The following is a 17,623-nucleotide window of genomic DNA, read 5'->3' as shown; positions in this document are numbered from 1 at the left end:
TGATTCCCAGATCTAAATTTTCGCACTGACATAGGCTTAGTCACATATAAATTATAGTTTGCGTGTGTAAGAATGAATGAAATTAATAGCCCTCACTTATTTTTAAGGCTTTAGAAAGAATATTGTTTAAAATAACCCCATACTCTACGATGGTCCTGATTCTTCCTTAGCTTGCCCCTCGCTATGTGAGACTGACTACTTAATGGATTTGTCACAGAGGTTTTCCTGGCTGAGAGATATCAGAGACTTTGATGGTGAAGCAGCGACAGGGGAACAAAATGACGGGCGAGGAAGCTTCGAGTGCAGGCTTTGCTCTTTTAACTTTATGCCCAGTTCCATAATTGTGCTTTCAAATGTAATTTCTAGCTGCCAATTTACACTTTACCACAGTTAAGACTTAGTTTCATTTCCATGAAAAATGTGCACTTTGCTCTTGATTGACAGATATATGCTTTGACAATTGATACAGGTTTACCCAGTCAAGGCTTGTTTTAGTTGAAGGTGAAAATGGAAGAGGGAAAAAAAATTGCTTCAACAGACCTCAGTATTTCTTTTTATTGCATTCGTTGTCTAACAACAATAATACTCATTGGCAAGAAATTTATTTACACTAACAAATTAAATTTAATCACAGGTATTGTTAGATTGGTCAGAAAACAAAAGACCACTGTGATATTTTGCTTGAATGCCTCTGAAAACCAAAGAGTAAGGAATGTCATTTGAAACTTTTTGAACAATCTAGAGAAGTACATATTAACCAAGCACAAGAGAACAATTCAGACGTGGCACTATTGTCTCTTCCATGCAAATGATCAGACATCAAAATGTACAAATTAAAAGCTTAGGTAACATGCTATCCATACTTATCAGACTTAAAATTATTTTCAAACAATTCGTGTTCTTTACTGATATACAAAGAAAGCTGAAAAGAAATCAACTTCTTACAGTGGAATAGAATTTATTCTCTTTTATTTTCAGCTGCCCAGTTTTGTCAGTAAGGTGTAGCAGGTGTACAAGTGGTTGCAACACCATTAAAAAATATAAAAGCAGTAGTTATATTAAATAATGTTGAAGAAAACATATACATATATATTTAAGGAATTTCACTAAGCACTAACTAAATTTCATGTTGTTGGGAGGTGTTATCTGGCTGGAGTGCCTCTTAATTCTTTTTAAGGTAATTTAATTATTTCTTGCCAATTGTTCTTTCTTGAATGAATGATTACATCCTTAACAGAAAACCTGGGTGTATAAATAATACAGCTGAAAGAAACAGAAGTGTACACCTTCCAACAACATACACTCCCAACCACTTGTGTTGTTTTTGGCAACAACCAAAATGCCATTGCTTGCACAAAAAGTAAATAAATGATCATATGATGGCAACATTCATCATAAGAGAGCCAGTAGGCAGTGACTGTAAGCATCACAGCCACCAATTATGTCATTTTAGAATTGTGAGCAAATTCACAAGAACACACAGTGCAATTTTTAGCTGCATACATTTCTTCTGAGCTCCAACTCAGCAATATGCAATCTTGACATCAAAGCATTAGCCAAATATTTGAGGAAATTTTCTTACTAAAATACCAAGTATCTGATAAATCAATTTTACCAAAATATATAAACATATAGAAGGATAAGTGCATTTAGTAGAAATACTTACAATAAAAAAATCTCTTAAAATCTATGAGCCATTCAATGTATACACAACGCAAGAAGTGGCAATAAGGCTATGATTACAGCTCCAGGTCCTGACTGACCTCGCCAAGTTCCATACACAATATATTTTTTAATGCCATGTGATTGCAGTGTGTGTGCGTGTGTAAGGTGGGAGTGATATTCACACATATGTAGTTCTGAACATCTACACAAACGGCATGCACATTGTTGAGAAGTTATCTGTTCTCTTATTGCATACATCTTACTCACTGTTGAATCCCTAGCAGTTTTGGGGTTGGGTTAGGGTCAAGCATAGGAAATCATCATATTTCTTTCCTTCTCCACTCTTGAGGATCTGGAATCAGGTCACAGACTGTGCTGGGTCCACACGCTTACATATGTGAACCTTCAAGTAACTACCATTCCCTCAATAGGCCCACATAGACACCACGGACAAGCAAATAAGGACCCTCTGTCTACCATAAATAGAACTTGATGCTTTCACTTTCCAGGAGAAGCTGATTCTGTCGGCTTTCTCTTTGCCCCTCCAACTTCTTAGTTGGGCCTATTCTATGCTGCTACTTCAAGTTACTCAAATGTGTTTTGTCTGGTGTTATTTTTTTCTCCAGTGTTTTGGACCAAGACTAGATTTCCTGAGACTTTAAATACGCAAGACAAATGCAAACAAAATCTGCCAACATACCCAGGCTGCTTTTCAGGAGTGAATCACTGAAGCGCATTTGGATTTCCTATAACACTACTTTCTTTTGGGAATGTACAGCCCTCCCCCAGCTCCCCATCCCCCATCATAATGTAAACCATTCTAATAGAAAATATGGATGTTTTGGCTGGGGGTGGTGGCACATGCCTGTAGTCCCAGCTACTTGGGAAGCTGAAGCAGGAGGACCACTTGAGCCCAGGAGTTTGAGGCTGCAGTAAGACATGATGGCACCACTGCAGTCCAGTCTGGGTGACAGATGACAGAAAAAAAAAAAAAAAAAGAAAAGAAAAGAAAATATGGACATTTTATTTCTGGACTTTATCCTTAAATGCTTAGCTTTAGAATAGTGCACAGGTACATCCTTAATAAAAAGTAAATTTGAAAAGACAGGAAAGGACTGTGCTTTTCTCTTCCATTTTACCTTTTCATTCTGAGACCACTAAGGTCTTTGCATTAAGTAGGTGACGTGAACCCTAGTGACCACTGCCCACCAAAATGCCCCTCATCTCCAGCTCTGTCAGGAGTACCTTTAGTTACTCAAATGGAAATATCTCAGTGTAATGATGGGGCTACAACATATCCAAAGTATAGATGGTTCTCTCAGGGCTGCTGGGGCAGCTTCCTTTAGAATCCTCTAGAACACTATTGTTAAACACTGGATCTCCTCTTGAAGTTTAGTCTGCATAACCTTTAACACTTAAACATGAATCAGAGTATCTATATAAATGCAAATTTTCATTTCCCTTTTATAAAATGCAATTTTCAAGCACATGCTAATTCTGGTGCACAATGAACCCAGACAAATTTGTCTTCAGCACAAACTCTAACGGCCGAGGTGCTAGATCAAACCACCTGTGACCATTTTTGTAGCTTGGGACTGGGATATTTTAAGATTTCAGGCTAGTGATGATTACAGGGTCACAGATAGTGGCAAAGGTAAATCTGGTTCCTCATTTTCCCTCTTGCCACTTTGTTTCCAACAACAATGGAGCAAAAGGTGACAGTCCCATTTTGTGCCAGTTGAAAGCTGAGTTTGGCTTTAGTACCTATCATACTGCAATCATGAACTGCTGTGGGTTAAAAAAAGCTTGTGATGTTGAGGGTGTGAAATCAATTGTCAATCCCAGCTAAAGGATGATAGCCACAGAACAGCTTTATTGTCATGAAACTAAAGGGGGACTTCATCAGGAGTGTTAGAATGGATGAAATGAGGTTTCTTCCCTAACTTAACATTCTGCAGAAAATTCCTGATTCAGGTAAAAAAAGAATGAGATTAGTATTACATAAACTGTGAGTTACTTGAAGGGAGATGGTCTTAAACAAAGTAATCTGTTATAAAACTAACATCCTTTAATGGGAAACCCTGACCCAGATACAGCTCATACAATGCTTTCTGTCTGCAGCTTGGCCTCCTCACCACACATTCCCTCCCAACAAAGCATAACCTATACCCCAAAACACTTTTGGCTATTGTTAGAATCATACTGAGCTCTCCTTTAGGGAATCAGTTCATAGCAACCAGATATTCCCTTTTTGTTCATTTTCTGATAATAAAAACTGCAGTTTTTAAGGTTGATGAAATAACAATTCTGTGTTAAATTGTAAGGACACTGAAAACCACTAGCATTAAAGTAGGAATTGTGCAAGACATTGGAGCCTTGATTAGGTATCATGCACTACAGTCAATAAAAGAAATAATAGGAAAACAAAATGTGCACAAGATCTGAGGTCTTTCACTTTGCTTTCATACCCTTAATCAGTTTACATCTTATGCTTTGTGGGGCAATCAAACCAAATGACTTTTACAATTTCATCCGTTTTAAGTGGTAATGTTAAAATAACTCACTTCGGCCTAAAATTACTATAATTTAACTTAAAAAATCAAAATACTTATAATACTAAATGATTTTAGGAATAAGAATTTGATTTATAACATTGTCAGTTGGACATTTATCTAAACATTCAATATACAAAGTTATAAAGAAAAATACTTCTAAGATATTTAAGAAAATGCAATATAATAGATCATAAATTAGGTGCAAAAACAAGACACTTACAGACATTTCCAGTATATACATCCATTTTCAAATATTACCAAAGTGTAAACATAACTTAAGATAATCATCCTTCTATTTCTACTCTTGAATACAGTGAAACTTCCAGTGTGATCCAGGTCACTTTTTTCCCAAAGATAAGCAAAAATGGCAAAAATTTACAATAGCAAGCACTAATATTACCAGATTTTTACTAATTTAGTGTTTTAGTATTTGAAAAGTTTTGCCAAATTGTATCACTCATTAATAGTGGCTTCTTATTTCTCATGATGTGAAAAAATAACAAAGCACCAGACATCTCAAGACATTAATAGAGTATCCAATACGGCAGTTTCATTATCATACCCCTAATGAAGACAGACAGAAAAACATAATGGTGACTTTGATAACTGTAAAACACAATGTTACTTCATGTCAACGTTTCTGAGGATTGAATGAAGGGTCTGTACCTAATGACAAAAGAGCTGACGCATAACCGACAATACTCTGGCAATGAAAAGAAAACAGGCCTTGGGGGTAAAACAGAATTAAAAATGTCCAGTTTAGATAATTTCTGAATTCAGATTTTCAGATAAAAAAAAATCACACTGTTATTAAAATACAAGATGGGGCTACAAGGGAGTTCCCTTAATCTGTTACACTCAAAAGCCTTGCCGAGGCTCTAAATATGGAATACTTCTAGTGGAAGATACGAGATGCTGGGAACAGAGCAGAGATTCCCATAAAGTAAAAGAAGTAAAATACTGTCCAAGAATTCATGTGGCCTCAAGTCTTATTCTGAAACTTGTCCTTTGGAAAGTGGATAACCTCATTTTTAGAGTCAACGCAGCAAAGAGAACCAGATACATGAGCATAAAAAACAAAAAACCCTCATCACATGAAATTTCTCAAAACGAGTTTATTTTCTCCTTCTTCTGCCCCAGTCTCCTGCACTTGACTTAGTTTGGTGAAACATGGAAATCCTTAATGCTGGCTTAAAATTAGTATAAGTTCCTCCACTACTAAAGTATACCTATGCACTGCCTTAAACAAACTTTTTCTGTAAAATTGAGAATCTTTGAAGTATGGAAAGGAATGGTTCGGAAAAACCATTCAAAATCTCTCTAAAATGTTAACTGACAGTTTCCTCTAACTGGTATTTCTATTTTTCTTAAAAGTACATTTGTTAAAATACTAACTGAGCCCACCTGGGAAATCTTGAGTAGAAAATATGTGATGAGTTCCTGATTGTGACATAGGCAGGCTGAAGACCAGCCAGAATGTTCCCCAGGAGAGGAAACCTGAAAATGGTGGTTTCCTTAAAAATCAATTTCCTGTTCAATTTCTTGGGTTAGGTAGGGGGAAGAGGAACTGTGTTGTGTTTGCCAGTGTTGCTGAAATGCTGAACACACAGCAGTAGCAAGGTCAACAGATCCCAATATCCCATGGCTGCATTAATGTCTGATTTTTTTCTTTCTTGTTCAGCCGTATCTAGAGGATAAATATTACCCTCAGAACCCCAAGGTAATACCCACATCCACATTCTTAAGGCTTTTGCTTTTTTCAGTGGTTAACAAATAGCTATAATTTATTTTCTTTCTTTTTGATGCCTAGCAAGCAGAATGACTTGCTTGCCTTTTCCCTTAGTAGGTAACTACAGAGCAGAGCACCCATGTTTCCACAGCGGGGTGGTCTCACTGTCCAGACTGAGAATTAAGAGCAAATCTTTCCCACACATTGGAGTAGGTGTTGCAGTCCTAGAAGTTAAGTACTGGTCTCAGATCTCATGGCAGGGTGCTCTCTGCCATGCAGACATGTGCAATTGCCATTTCAGGATCCCACACTGAAAATTCACGGCGCTCCATTAACAACACCAGGGTGTGTCATGCTCTTGGGTGGGGTCACACTAGTTCTCCAAGTGACAAAACACACCCAACACAACACAAGATGTTGGTAAGTTAGAGAAGAGCAAAACACAGCTACTTAAATGAAATCTCTGGTTTGTTAATGAACCAAAGGTGGCTTGGGATTATTTTAGTAGTTAAAATTAAGAGTGCATTCTATTGCAGAAAATGCAGTTATTCAACACACAGTTCCTCAGCCGGCCTAGAGCCGCATTACCCTTATCATTTAGTTTCTTTTTCATCCTCTGGAGGAGAGCAGGGCAGGAAGAGGTGGGGACTTCTCTTGGAGCATCTCCATCATCTGTAAGAGGGTATGTGTTACTGCTCACCAGCACCCTCGGCTGTAGTTGACGTCATCTTTTCTGTCTTTTTGGACTTCCTCTGCATTTGCTCTTGCTCCTTTCTCCTTAGCTTTTCTCTTTGTTTTTCCATTTTCTCTTGGGCCTTCCGAGCCTTCTCTAGAGACATCTTCATTTCCTTGAGTTTCTTTTTGACCACTGCTCGGTCCTGGGATGCTGTCATTCCAAGAGCCTAAGAAAGAAACACACACACAAACTGAATTTGAAAACCAATGAGCCCTCTGATGGTGTTAACATACCATATATCCAAGTTCGTAAACTAATTCAAACATTGAAGAGGTAAGAACAGAGGAAGAACTAGTTACATTTGCTAAAAACCAACACACTGGGGGCTACCCTTTATTTTTTCTTTTGTTCTTTGAAGTCCCTTGCAAAGTATACCCTAAAGCTCATTAATTAAATGCTTTCCAAATGAGTAATTAATGGGTGAATGAATGGAAAAAGGGCACAATTCTACTTCTCCAACCTTTGGGCTGTAGGCATTTACGGGTAAAGGTATTGCTAAACTCATCAATATTTTCAAAGCATAGGAGTGAGCACCTGCTGTCACAGAGGGCTCCAAGAAGGGCAAGAAGAATTGAAATGGCTTCCTTTCTGCCAATGTTTTCATTACAATGAGAACCAAAAATGTCTTTGGGGCCAGAATGCTCGTGTCAGCATGACTAGCCATTCTTTCCCTGTAGGCAGACCTATAAAGGAAGTTGATTATAATGAGGAGGTTGCTCGATGAACTTAGAATTCAGAATAAGGGGAGTTGCTTATGTACTTTAAATGTTTCGTGACCTTCAGAATCAACAGCAGGATGCATCTATCTATCTCCCCAACAGGGACAGCCTTGTCAATGAGGCCTTCATATTCACAAGCTATTGATTGATCTCTAACCTTTTCAAGATTGTCAAGAGATACTCGTCTGCCCGTCAGCCCAGCAGGGGGCTGAGGCGGGGGTGGGGCTTGGGGGTACATGGAGTTGGCTGTAAGCACCTTTTTCCCTTTCCCAAAGGGATGGATGCCACCTTGGTCTCTAAGAGAGATGGACTGGACAAGTGGAAATGAAAGTGCCATGGAGGGGAGGGAAGATGTGTGTACATATTTGGGGAAAAAACTTCTGGGGAGAACATCATCCCAGTTTGGGAGTGGTGTGTAAGGAAGAGTGGAGGTGAAGGAGAAATGAACAAGGAAAAGAAGACTCGTGGATCTGGGTCTTAATTCTAATGTGATGAAAAAGTCCACAGTGGCCATTATTAAAACTCATACTACATCAGATGTAAGGAGAGTTAATATATGGACCATGTGTTGCCAGGTGGAAGCAATGGAGTGGGTCCCTCACTCTCCTAATCAGCAGCCTACCATTTGATTTGGAACCCCTGATGGACTTTCTGAGACTTCATTTACTACTCAGAAAGAATTCAACATCCTTTCTGCTGAATATTGATGAGAATTACCTCTCAGATATGCAGAATGCTCTTACCTAATGAAAACATTTTAGGTGATATGAGTAATACAAATTATACCTGGTAACCTAAGACAGACATATAATTCTTTACCTTAAGTTTATTTCCATCCAACTGCAGGAGCTGTTCTCCAGTGATGTTTTGGGCACTGAATTCAGATACATACTGCTCCAGATTTAGGCTCATTAACCAGTGAGAAACCTGCTGCACACTCCATTCCTGAACGGCCCGATTCTGACACTGACTGTGTTTGGGAGACTGTCCATCATCAAGGATCTAAGATAGGAATGTTACGTAGTGTTGTTAAAGGACCAAGATACTATGGCTCATATTATGCTATCAAAAGGAATTTCTTAACCTATGAGAGCCACATTTATGTTTAAACCAAAATATGATAAGCTAATGGTTCTAGTGGTGTTAGAAAAAATACTTATTACCTATATGTTTTTATGTTTTTAGAAGTTTAGAAATTCCCCATAATAAAAAAGCACCATTATTAATGTAGGAAGTTTAATATTGAAGAAAATATATTAATGTTGCAAGCTTTTACATCAAAACAGTCTGGACAGATTATAAGATGTAGAAAATAAATATTTCATAAATTTCTATATGCAATGCATCACTTATCCTCTAATAAGACATTGGAATTTTGTAAAAATATATTAACAAATACTGAGGTATCTTTCACTTGCAAGAGGAGAGCATTAAGCTCTCAAGCCTTCTTAGGGGAAGTTTCACAACCATTATTTCACTTGAGCAGCAAGCAAACTGTGAGGAAGGTAGGGCATATAATATCCATCATTACTTTCAAGAAATGAGGAAATGGCTGGGCATGGTGGCTCACATCTGTAATCCCAGCACTTCGGGAGGCTGAAGTGGGTGGATCACTTGAGGCCAGGAGTTCAAGACCAGCCTGGCCAACATGTTGAAATCCCCTCTCTACTAAAAATACAAAAATTAGCCAGTGTGGTGGTGGCGCATGCCTGTAATCCCAGTTATTCGAGAGGCTGAGGCAGGAGAATCGCTTGAATCCAGGAGGTGGAGGTTGCAGTGAACCAAGATTGTGCCACTGCACTCCAGCCTGGGCAACAGAGTGAGACTGTCTTAAAAAACAAAAAAAGAAACAAGGAAACTGAGGCTGAGAAAGTCTATGTGATCTGCCCAAGATCACACAGTTAGTAAGTGGTAGAGCTCAATAGTTAGGAGTTTATTCTAAATTTCTGGCTCTGTCCACTGCAGAATATTCCTTTTAATAGTGCAAAGGGACAGGTTGGTTCCTAGACCCACTAAGCTGAGAGGAGATGAAGGTGATGATAGGTCTTGAAGGAAAGACAGGAGTCACCTTGGTGACCCACACAGGGAACACAGAAGAAGGGATAGGGTAAGCTGAGATGAAGGCAAAGGAGAGGAAGAAGAATGGACCATGTCAATGTAATGGTGATGGAAGAGAAATCGAGGAACTCTGGAGGTGCAATGCGGAGATCCTCTTAAGTTAGGAACATCTTTTAAACTAAGATATGACAAAGGCAGAGAGTAAAGCTATTTAACACAAGGAAACCCTTCACTACAGAGGAAGATATTCTTGTATTGTCTGATTTTTCAGTCATCTCCAAAGAGCGAAAAAACACATTCAAACAATAGCACACAAGCCACCACACACAGCCCACTGATAGCTCACCTCGTCATCTATCATATCCAGGCTCTGAGTGAGGGAGCAATAAAAGAATCAAGAAGAAAAGTGTTACAGAAACAGGAGACACAACATATATAGTACATAATTTTAATAAAATTAAAATTGCACCAAGCTTGAAGAATACGGGCAGAAAAGCTTACAAGAAAAAAAAAAGTTTTGTGAATAAAAAATCATGTTAGAAAGAAATAGTAAGAACAAATATTTAGAGCAAAAATATCTTTATTTATGGTGCCTTCTGTCCTCCCTCCATTTTTCAAGGAACTAAATCACTAACCTCATTTCCTGACTCTCTTGTACACATTTATCTCCTGATAATTTGTAGCAATACTAATTTTGACCCTTGTTTTTAAATAAATGGTTCTCATGCTATTTTCCCTCTTTATCAAAACTATTGATTCTCAATCAGAGACCTCACCCTAATCAGAGGCAGTATCAGAATCTTGGAGTGAGTGTGGTTGTCAGGGGAGGCAAGGAAAAAAAGAAAGGAGTAATTAGGAAACTTCTATGTGATTTCTGAGCTGTTCCCCCATGTTTAACTCTGCACTGCCCAGCCTCCCCATCATGTGTGTTTACATATACGTGTAAAAGGGGCCCCTGGAAAGCTTAAGAACAAGACTTTGCTTTTCTGTTGAGAAAGGGAGGGAGAGAAATCATGAAGACTTCAAATTAAACATAAACCACAGTCCTGATGATTTCTATGCAATATCTACCCTAAAAACATTTTCCTGGTGATGGTTCATGGGTAAAACGTCAGATTTGACAAAGCAGCTCTGTCATAGTGCCATGGAATTACCTCATCTGATGACAGTGCTAAGGACTGAGAGAGCCCTGGTGTTTTAGGTTCTGCTCCTAAGCCGCTGAGGTCTGCTGAACTGGTACTGCTGGGACTGAAGTCATCATTGAAGGTAAAATTCTGTAAAAATAAATGAAGCTCAGTGTTAAATGAGTGCAGTGAGTGAGCAAGAGGTAGGTGTGTCTACAAGCTCTAAAAGGGCTCTTTTAAACAATCTTAGCAGAAATTCATGTATGATTTGGTGATGACCTTCAATGGGGCAGCGGTTGAGAATGCTGCACCTTGTCTGGTTGAGGGAATTCTGGGTGCTTTCTCCATGTGATGAAAGGATAGATGTTTTAGAGAGACAATTCTTCAATTGCTCTTCAAGGGTACAGAATTCATTATCCTCTGCAACTGCTCAGAGGAATAATATTAATAAGCCTATCTTCTTTGACCCTAATCGTGATGAGTAACAGTGTAAGTAAAAATACAAGATGGTGTGGAGAGGCTGAGTTATTAGGAACAGATGGCAATTCATATTAGAAAGGTAGCTAGAGCACCTCCTGGGAAGGATCGCTTATTGTTGGCTGTGATAAATACTATGAGAAATGGCAGATCCTCTCCTGGATGTACCCTTCAAGATGATGAGTTCTGGGGGAGGTCACAGCCTGACAATACACTAGTAGTTACATGCTGAAATACAACTCTCTCACTGCACCCGCAGAGCATCAGAGAGGCTGCCACACAGCACAGACACAGGTTTCCAAATAATCACCTGGGGGTGGGGGAGGTGGGAGCGTGTAAATAAAACTTCCCCAGAACTTCATTAAAATATTCAGTGGATATGAAAATCAAACAACAATGACTACGTAGCTGCACTTGTAAAAACATTTTTAACCAAATCTGGAGTCTCTACAGTGCAAGATAATGGCAGAATTCTTCGAATTGCATTTAGATGCCTCAGATCCAATACTGAAAATGTTTCAAGACCAAAGTGATGTGCTGCTATCAAAACTTCTTTTGCTAGTAATTCTAAAATGGATGGATTTCCAGGAACTCTAAGCACTTGACCAACACCATCTTGTTTCTATTGCATTTCCTTAGGAATTGGACTGTTAGATTTCCACTAGGTTCCCTTATACTGGGTTTAGTTGGTTATCAAAAATAAATACCATGCCAGAGGCTGGAGAATTCAGTACCGAACAAACTCCAAAGTTTGCTAAAACTTCAGAAAAGAAGTCTAGGTTAGAGCACATGGAGCTAGGCCAGCAGAACATTTAAGCAGCAGGACATTTAACATGAACATTACCATTTGGTACCCCAGTCAAAACCCTTTGAGCTGTTGAAAAGATTTAAATTGAAACTGAAAAGAATTAAATTCAAGTAACATTAATCACGTTTCTGTTTGAGAAAGAAAAGCGAACACAGATAAAAGGAGACCAAACAACGTGTGAAAGTTAGCCACCATATGTGTTTCAATAAAATGTTAGATAAGGTTTGCAGTGTCATGCTGGAAATAACCATCATGCATTTAAAAACAAGTAACACCCATGCATATATTTCCTAATTCTGTTGAAGAACTTTGGTGATAGAATTATACAGCAGTTGTTCAACACAGAAGTTTGACATTAAAAGAAGAAATAAATAAGGATGCTATGTCATCATTGGTTTGTTTTAAAGAGTTTCACTTAGATGTACTGAACTCGTATTCAGTCCCAAATTTATTTGCTTTTCAGTAAATCTTGAGAAGCACAGTGAAATAGTTTAGTAATGTAATTTAAAGTAGAATACTGGGTAAACAGATCTATCATTCTGTTCTATGATTCAAATGCATCTTTCCCAGCATGGCTTAACTGTCAAACTGAGATTAAATAGCAATATGTGAAAAGATAGGCAAATCAAAGAGTAATGTACAATCTACAATGAAACAGCATTAAAGAAGGTGGTAGTTAAATGAGGCTTTCTTTTCCCCACATAAGAAATACCATGCATTGTTTATTGCAGTGTTATTACATTGGTTTCTTGGATCCAGACTACAGACATAAGTTGAGAATGCCTTCCAAAGATTGAAGAAGAGGAGGGATTTGGGTTTCTCTTGTTTGCTTTTGTAATCCATGTGTTTTCTACCTTGGACCCCTTTTTATCTGAAATTAGAGTCTCAGGAGAAGGCTGAAGGGAACTTGTAGGCGCAGGCAGGTTCCTGAAGGAATAGGATCCTTTCCGGCTGTCATTAAACCATGAGAAAGGCATGCAAGGGGAACGAGTGGAGGTCTGAGCTGTTGAACATGGCTTGGGTGTCCAGTTTTCCAGTCTGCCTCTGAAGATCCTGTTTTGTGAAAAGAATGGGTGTGTTAGATAAAGAAAGGGCGGATAAAAGACCTACTGAACCCAAGGACTCTGAATATAGTTTGAAGTAACAATTTGAGAAACTGTTCTATTCAACAGAGTAAAAAGTTTGCACTTTTGACTACAACACTAATCTTAATAGTTATCTTTTTGCCTCTAAATGGATTCTGTGACAATGATCAACATTTTCGTATTGCTATTGCCATGGTGAATTTTTATAAAATGTGCCTAATAAGTGTACGTAGATGAATTATAATCAGGGAGGGGCACAGTCTTTTAGGAACTGCTATTAGGTTAATCATCACTGCATTCCCTTTATCTGGGTGACATGCCTCACAGCTAGGGACATTAGCTCATAAGCAGCATTCTTTCCTGTCTTCCTCTGGACTTGTGTTCCGAAGGGTCTGAGACTTAAGAAAATGATATATTTAAATAATTTTGAAATTTCAGGGTTCAAAATACTTTAGGTGGAACACGTAGTTTATTGGTTTTTCACCAGAATCTTAGTGCCTTTTCACAGGAGGCGTAGGAGATCTGAAGTCCTCATCTCCCACTTGGAGGGCCAGGGTTTACCACCTCCTAAGTACATGGTCTCAGGCCTTCTCTCGGCTTTTAGTTCTCCATCTGTAAAAAGTGGATATTTTTATGTATCTCATATGTGTTTGTTAAGAATTAAATGAGATATGTGAAAGTGCTTACAAATTGTCAATGGTCTATGTTTATTGTTTAACATTTAAAGGATTCAAAGGCATTTGAAGAACGCAGTTTGAAAACAGATTTTTTTGTCTTAATGTAGGTTCTTTCATATCTGTAATTATCTTTTGGTTAAGAGAAAAAATAACTATCAGAAACCAAAGTAGGAACAGGCAGCAGTTTATGTGCATCTTGGAAGAGGTCACCCTTGCCGTTTGATGGAATGCCTATTATTTGATAGCTGCTGATACCACGATAACACAGAGATTCCCTTTCAATTAAAAGTGCCTGGACACCACAGCCAGACAACTTCTGTCCCACCACATGTATACTGAATTTCAGTCTTCTTACATCTCATTTCAAATATATTTTGAAATATATTTCCAGTTTATATAAATAGTATAACACCTAACAATTCCCATTTATTTGCAAATATTATTGTGAGGATCGACTGGGACATAAATGTAAAAGCATCTTGTAAACTGTAAAGCAAGATACAAATGTAAAGGGATTATAAGGCTGATAACTGAAGAGAATGAAGAAGTCAGTGAGGTTCTGATAAAATATTGAGATCAGCATGCTGGGGGAACCAGATGTCATCCTACACATGGTCTACACTCTAGGTGAGGAACTCCAAAAACATGAATCTGGTTGATTATATAGGAGAGGGAAAGCTGTCCCCTCTGCAGCCTCTGGGGAGGGTGGAGGGAGAAATCTTATCTCCTTAATGTAAATTCAACTTGGGAAGGATCTTGGGCTCTGACCCTTTGGGATGTAAACATGTGTCTCTAGGGAAAGATATGACTAGTGGCTCCAGCTTTACAACTCTAGGAATGTCTCCATGGAGATGGTCTCATCCCCCTCTTCCACTTAGCCTCCTTAAAATGTAACCACATTACCTCTGCAGAGGTCAATCTCTCTGGAGTTCTCACTATCTATGCACCCACAATTCAACTTCTGTTTTCTTTTTTTTGAGACAGGGTCTCGCTCTGTAACCCAGGCTAGAGTGCAGTGGCACAGTCATGGCTCCCTGCAGCCTGGACCTCCTGGGCTCAAGCAATCTTCACACCTCAGCTTCCAGAGTAGCTAGGACTTATAGGCGTGTGCCACCGTGCCTGGCTAACTTTTTTATTTTTTGTAGAGATAGGGGTTTATTATGCTATTGACCTCCTGCCTTGGCCTCCCAAAGTGCTGCGATTACAGGTGTGAATCACAACACTCAGCCTCATAATTTATTTTCTGAGGCTTGTTTTTTAGCTTAGGTTCCACATTCTAGTAAAAATGCCTAGAAAGCTCTAGCTGTGTAGAAACATATAAATATTTTCTCTGCAGTCCCATACTCTTATAATTGGGTATCTCTGAGGAAAAACTGGACCGGATGATCATTATCTCCTCTGGTTATAGATTTCTGAATCAAGGGAATTTTTAAATGAGTTCATCCACAATTTTCAATAAAATATAGTAGTGCTTAAATATATGGATATTGTTTTAAAGTTTATAAATAGGCCATGATTAATGACAGCATGACAATCTTGTCCTACTCCCAGTGAACAGCCTTTGTAACAATGCTTTTAGAACAATCACTATTACCTTTAAAAGCAAATAGGGACAAAATAAGAATTGTTTTCTACTTGTGGTCATTCCATTGCTTTAGTTGAAAAGGACTTTTGGTAGTCCAAATCCTGTCCAAGCAACATTTGAAAAGAAAAAAATCTGAAGGTCACATCTAATTAAACTCTCTCACAACATTTTCACTGTCAGAAAAATATTCAAGACTAATAATTCCACATGGACCTGTGCATCCAGCACTGAGGAGGGTCTTGAGGCCATGTGGTTCTTACATGTGCGGTGAAGGAGATCACAGAAGCTGGGCCTCTGGTGATACCCAGAGGCTTCCTTTCCCTAGCTTTGCACACCAAGTAATAGACAGGAAGGAGGAAGAGCCAGGCAGAAGGCAATGAGAGGCCACTTCCGAGAAGACACCTACGTCTCTACAGTGGCAAATCACCAGATTCAGGGATATTTTGAAGAATATTTTTCAGTTTCCCATGAGGCTTGGCTGTGCCCCTGCTGAAGTTGTATCCTGTATCTCTCATTCCTCTGTGAGTATCTGTGATTTTAAAACCCCATGAACTGATGTAACCCCTGGGTACTTGCTAGTATCCTTAAAGAACTGAACAGTGAGTGGTATGCTTTCATTTCTCGGACCTAGAGAACATTCATTTAAAAAACGAAATTTTTGCTTTAAAATTACAGACCTATCAGCTTAGCAGACATGCTTTCTAAAATAAATGTCAATTTCCTTCTGAATAAATTGAACTCTTGGGCCCACAATAGAAGCAGAAAGGGTTTGGCAGCAGTTATTCCATGTTGACCACTCTTATAGTCTATTTCACTTTGTGGAGAAATCCATTAGGAATAACATAAAATCCTTCTTTCCTTTCTTATTTGCTTCCTCCCTCCCTTTCTTCTTCTCCTCCTCGTTCCTTCCTTTTCTTTCCTTTTCACCTTCCTTTCTCCCCAAAATCGAGATTGGTAGAAATGAACTCTTGATGAATCTGAAAATAATTTTTCCAGTGGATCAAAATAGGTAGATAGTCTATATTCCCTTCACCTTCTTTTTTAGCTATAATTTACTGGCTTGCTATCATTTTTGGAAAAAAGAGAATCATAAGTCACTCCTAGGAACTGGGAGAAAGAATGGCTTCAAATTCGTCCTCATAATCCAAAGATACCATTTCAGAGGTAGCTGTTTCCTGGCATTTAAATGGTTTATGTAATATCTCTTATAAGTAATGAACTCATTTACATATATCTTGAATCCAGTGTATCCTGGGGCTGGCATCCCAAAATTAAATTGCCAGCTAAACATTCCAAGGTGATCTTTGTTGTTGTCATTCTAACTTTGAATACAGGTGTGTGAAGTATTCAGCATCTAACTGGATGTCATCAAAATATCATTAAGAGTTCAGAAACTGCCAGAACAGATGAAGTATAAAAGAAATACAGAATTTAAGCCCAGGAGTAAAAGAAGTTAATTGAAGAAAATTAGTTGCAACCAGAGGAAGATTGCAGACTTGTATTTACCTAAATCGAATGAAGTAATTCTATAAGGTTCTAACATCCACCAAGGAGTTTGAGGTTGTAAAGCTAGCCTCATCTAAATGGGATCTAGAGACCCTAATGGATAACAGCTGTGAGAAACATGTCCATCTAAAGCTCAGGGCCAACCCCCGCCCCCTACTCAGACATATCCTGCTCCCAGATCCTGAGTTCTGATCTAATCAATAATAGTTCATCTGAGATGGTCACTGTAGTGTTCAACTCTGAATCATTCGAGATGGTGAAACTATTCCCTTAATGAGTCTTCCCCATACTGGAGGGGTTTAAAATGAAATAGAAGAGGATCACGTAAATAAAATCCATACTATCAAAATCTAAATGCTAAGTTTAAGAATAACAGATATATTGCTTAGGTGTTTAAGAAAATTTGTATGAATAGAAATCTGAAAGAGAAATGTGTCCACTGATTCTACCTTAAAATGTTAAACTCATTTTAATGATCTAAACTCATTTTAAATTTGAGTTTTTAACAAACACACAATATATTAAGCACTTTGATAACTATATTGGGACGTTTAGAGTCACTACAGTTAAACAGTAACTTATTAGATTTTCAAGAGCTTTTTTAAGTATGGAAAAGTGTTTGCCTGTTAAGAATGTAAGTTTGTCAGGCTTCAGGCATTTGAAATACTGTACTTAAAAAGAAAACTGAATATTAAATTGATAAATGCAGCTAAAAATGGGCTAGACAGTTATGGGGAATAAGTCCGATCTACTAGGGCTAAGCTGACATTATTCAAAGGTCTCCATGAAAATGACTACATTCACTGGGCCAGGCTTAGGCAGAGATGGGGTGTTTTTCTACTCACACACATGTGCTCATCTCCATCAATTCTTCTAAAAGGTGTGTTTCCAGCCAGCTC

The 17,623-nt window shown here is 38.3% G+C and overlaps 1 protein-coding gene across 44 annotated transcripts in view; it reads right to left on the bottom strand.

Moving 5' to 3' along the window:
• Window positions 527-17,623, bottom strand: part of PPP1R9A (protein phosphatase 1 regulatory subunit 9A) — a 389,180-nt gene continuing 372,083 nt past the window's right edge. For 13 of the 44 annotated variants that reach the window (XM_047420574.1, XM_047420580.1, XM_047420573.1 and 10 more), the window contains 5 exons: window positions 12,612-12,924; window positions 10,617-10,736; window positions 9,809-9,832; window positions 8,224-8,406; window positions 527-6,851 (listed from right to left, as the gene is read on the bottom strand). In XM_047420574.1, the coding sequence (XP_047276530.1) occupies window positions 6,639-6,851; window positions 8,224-8,406; window positions 9,809-9,832; window positions 10,617-10,736; window positions 12,612-12,924 (853 nt within the window). In that variant the 3' untranslated portion in view covers window positions 527-6,638. The remainder of the gene's footprint in view (window positions 6,852-8,223; window positions 8,407-9,808; window positions 9,833-10,616; window positions 10,737-12,611; window positions 12,925-17,623) is intronic. The other 31 variants (XM_047420585.1, XM_047420589.1, XM_017012397.2 and 28 more) reach the window with 8 other exon arrangements.

Source organism: Homo sapiens, chromosome 7, assembly GCF_000001405.40.
Source record: "Homo sapiens chromosome 7, GRCh38.p14 Primary Assembly".
Taxonomy (NCBI): Eukaryota; Metazoa; Chordata; class Mammalia; order Primates; family Hominidae; genus Homo; species Homo sapiens.
The sequence above is the reverse complement of the archived record's forward strand: the minus strand, read 5'-3'. Positions and strand labels throughout refer to the sequence as shown.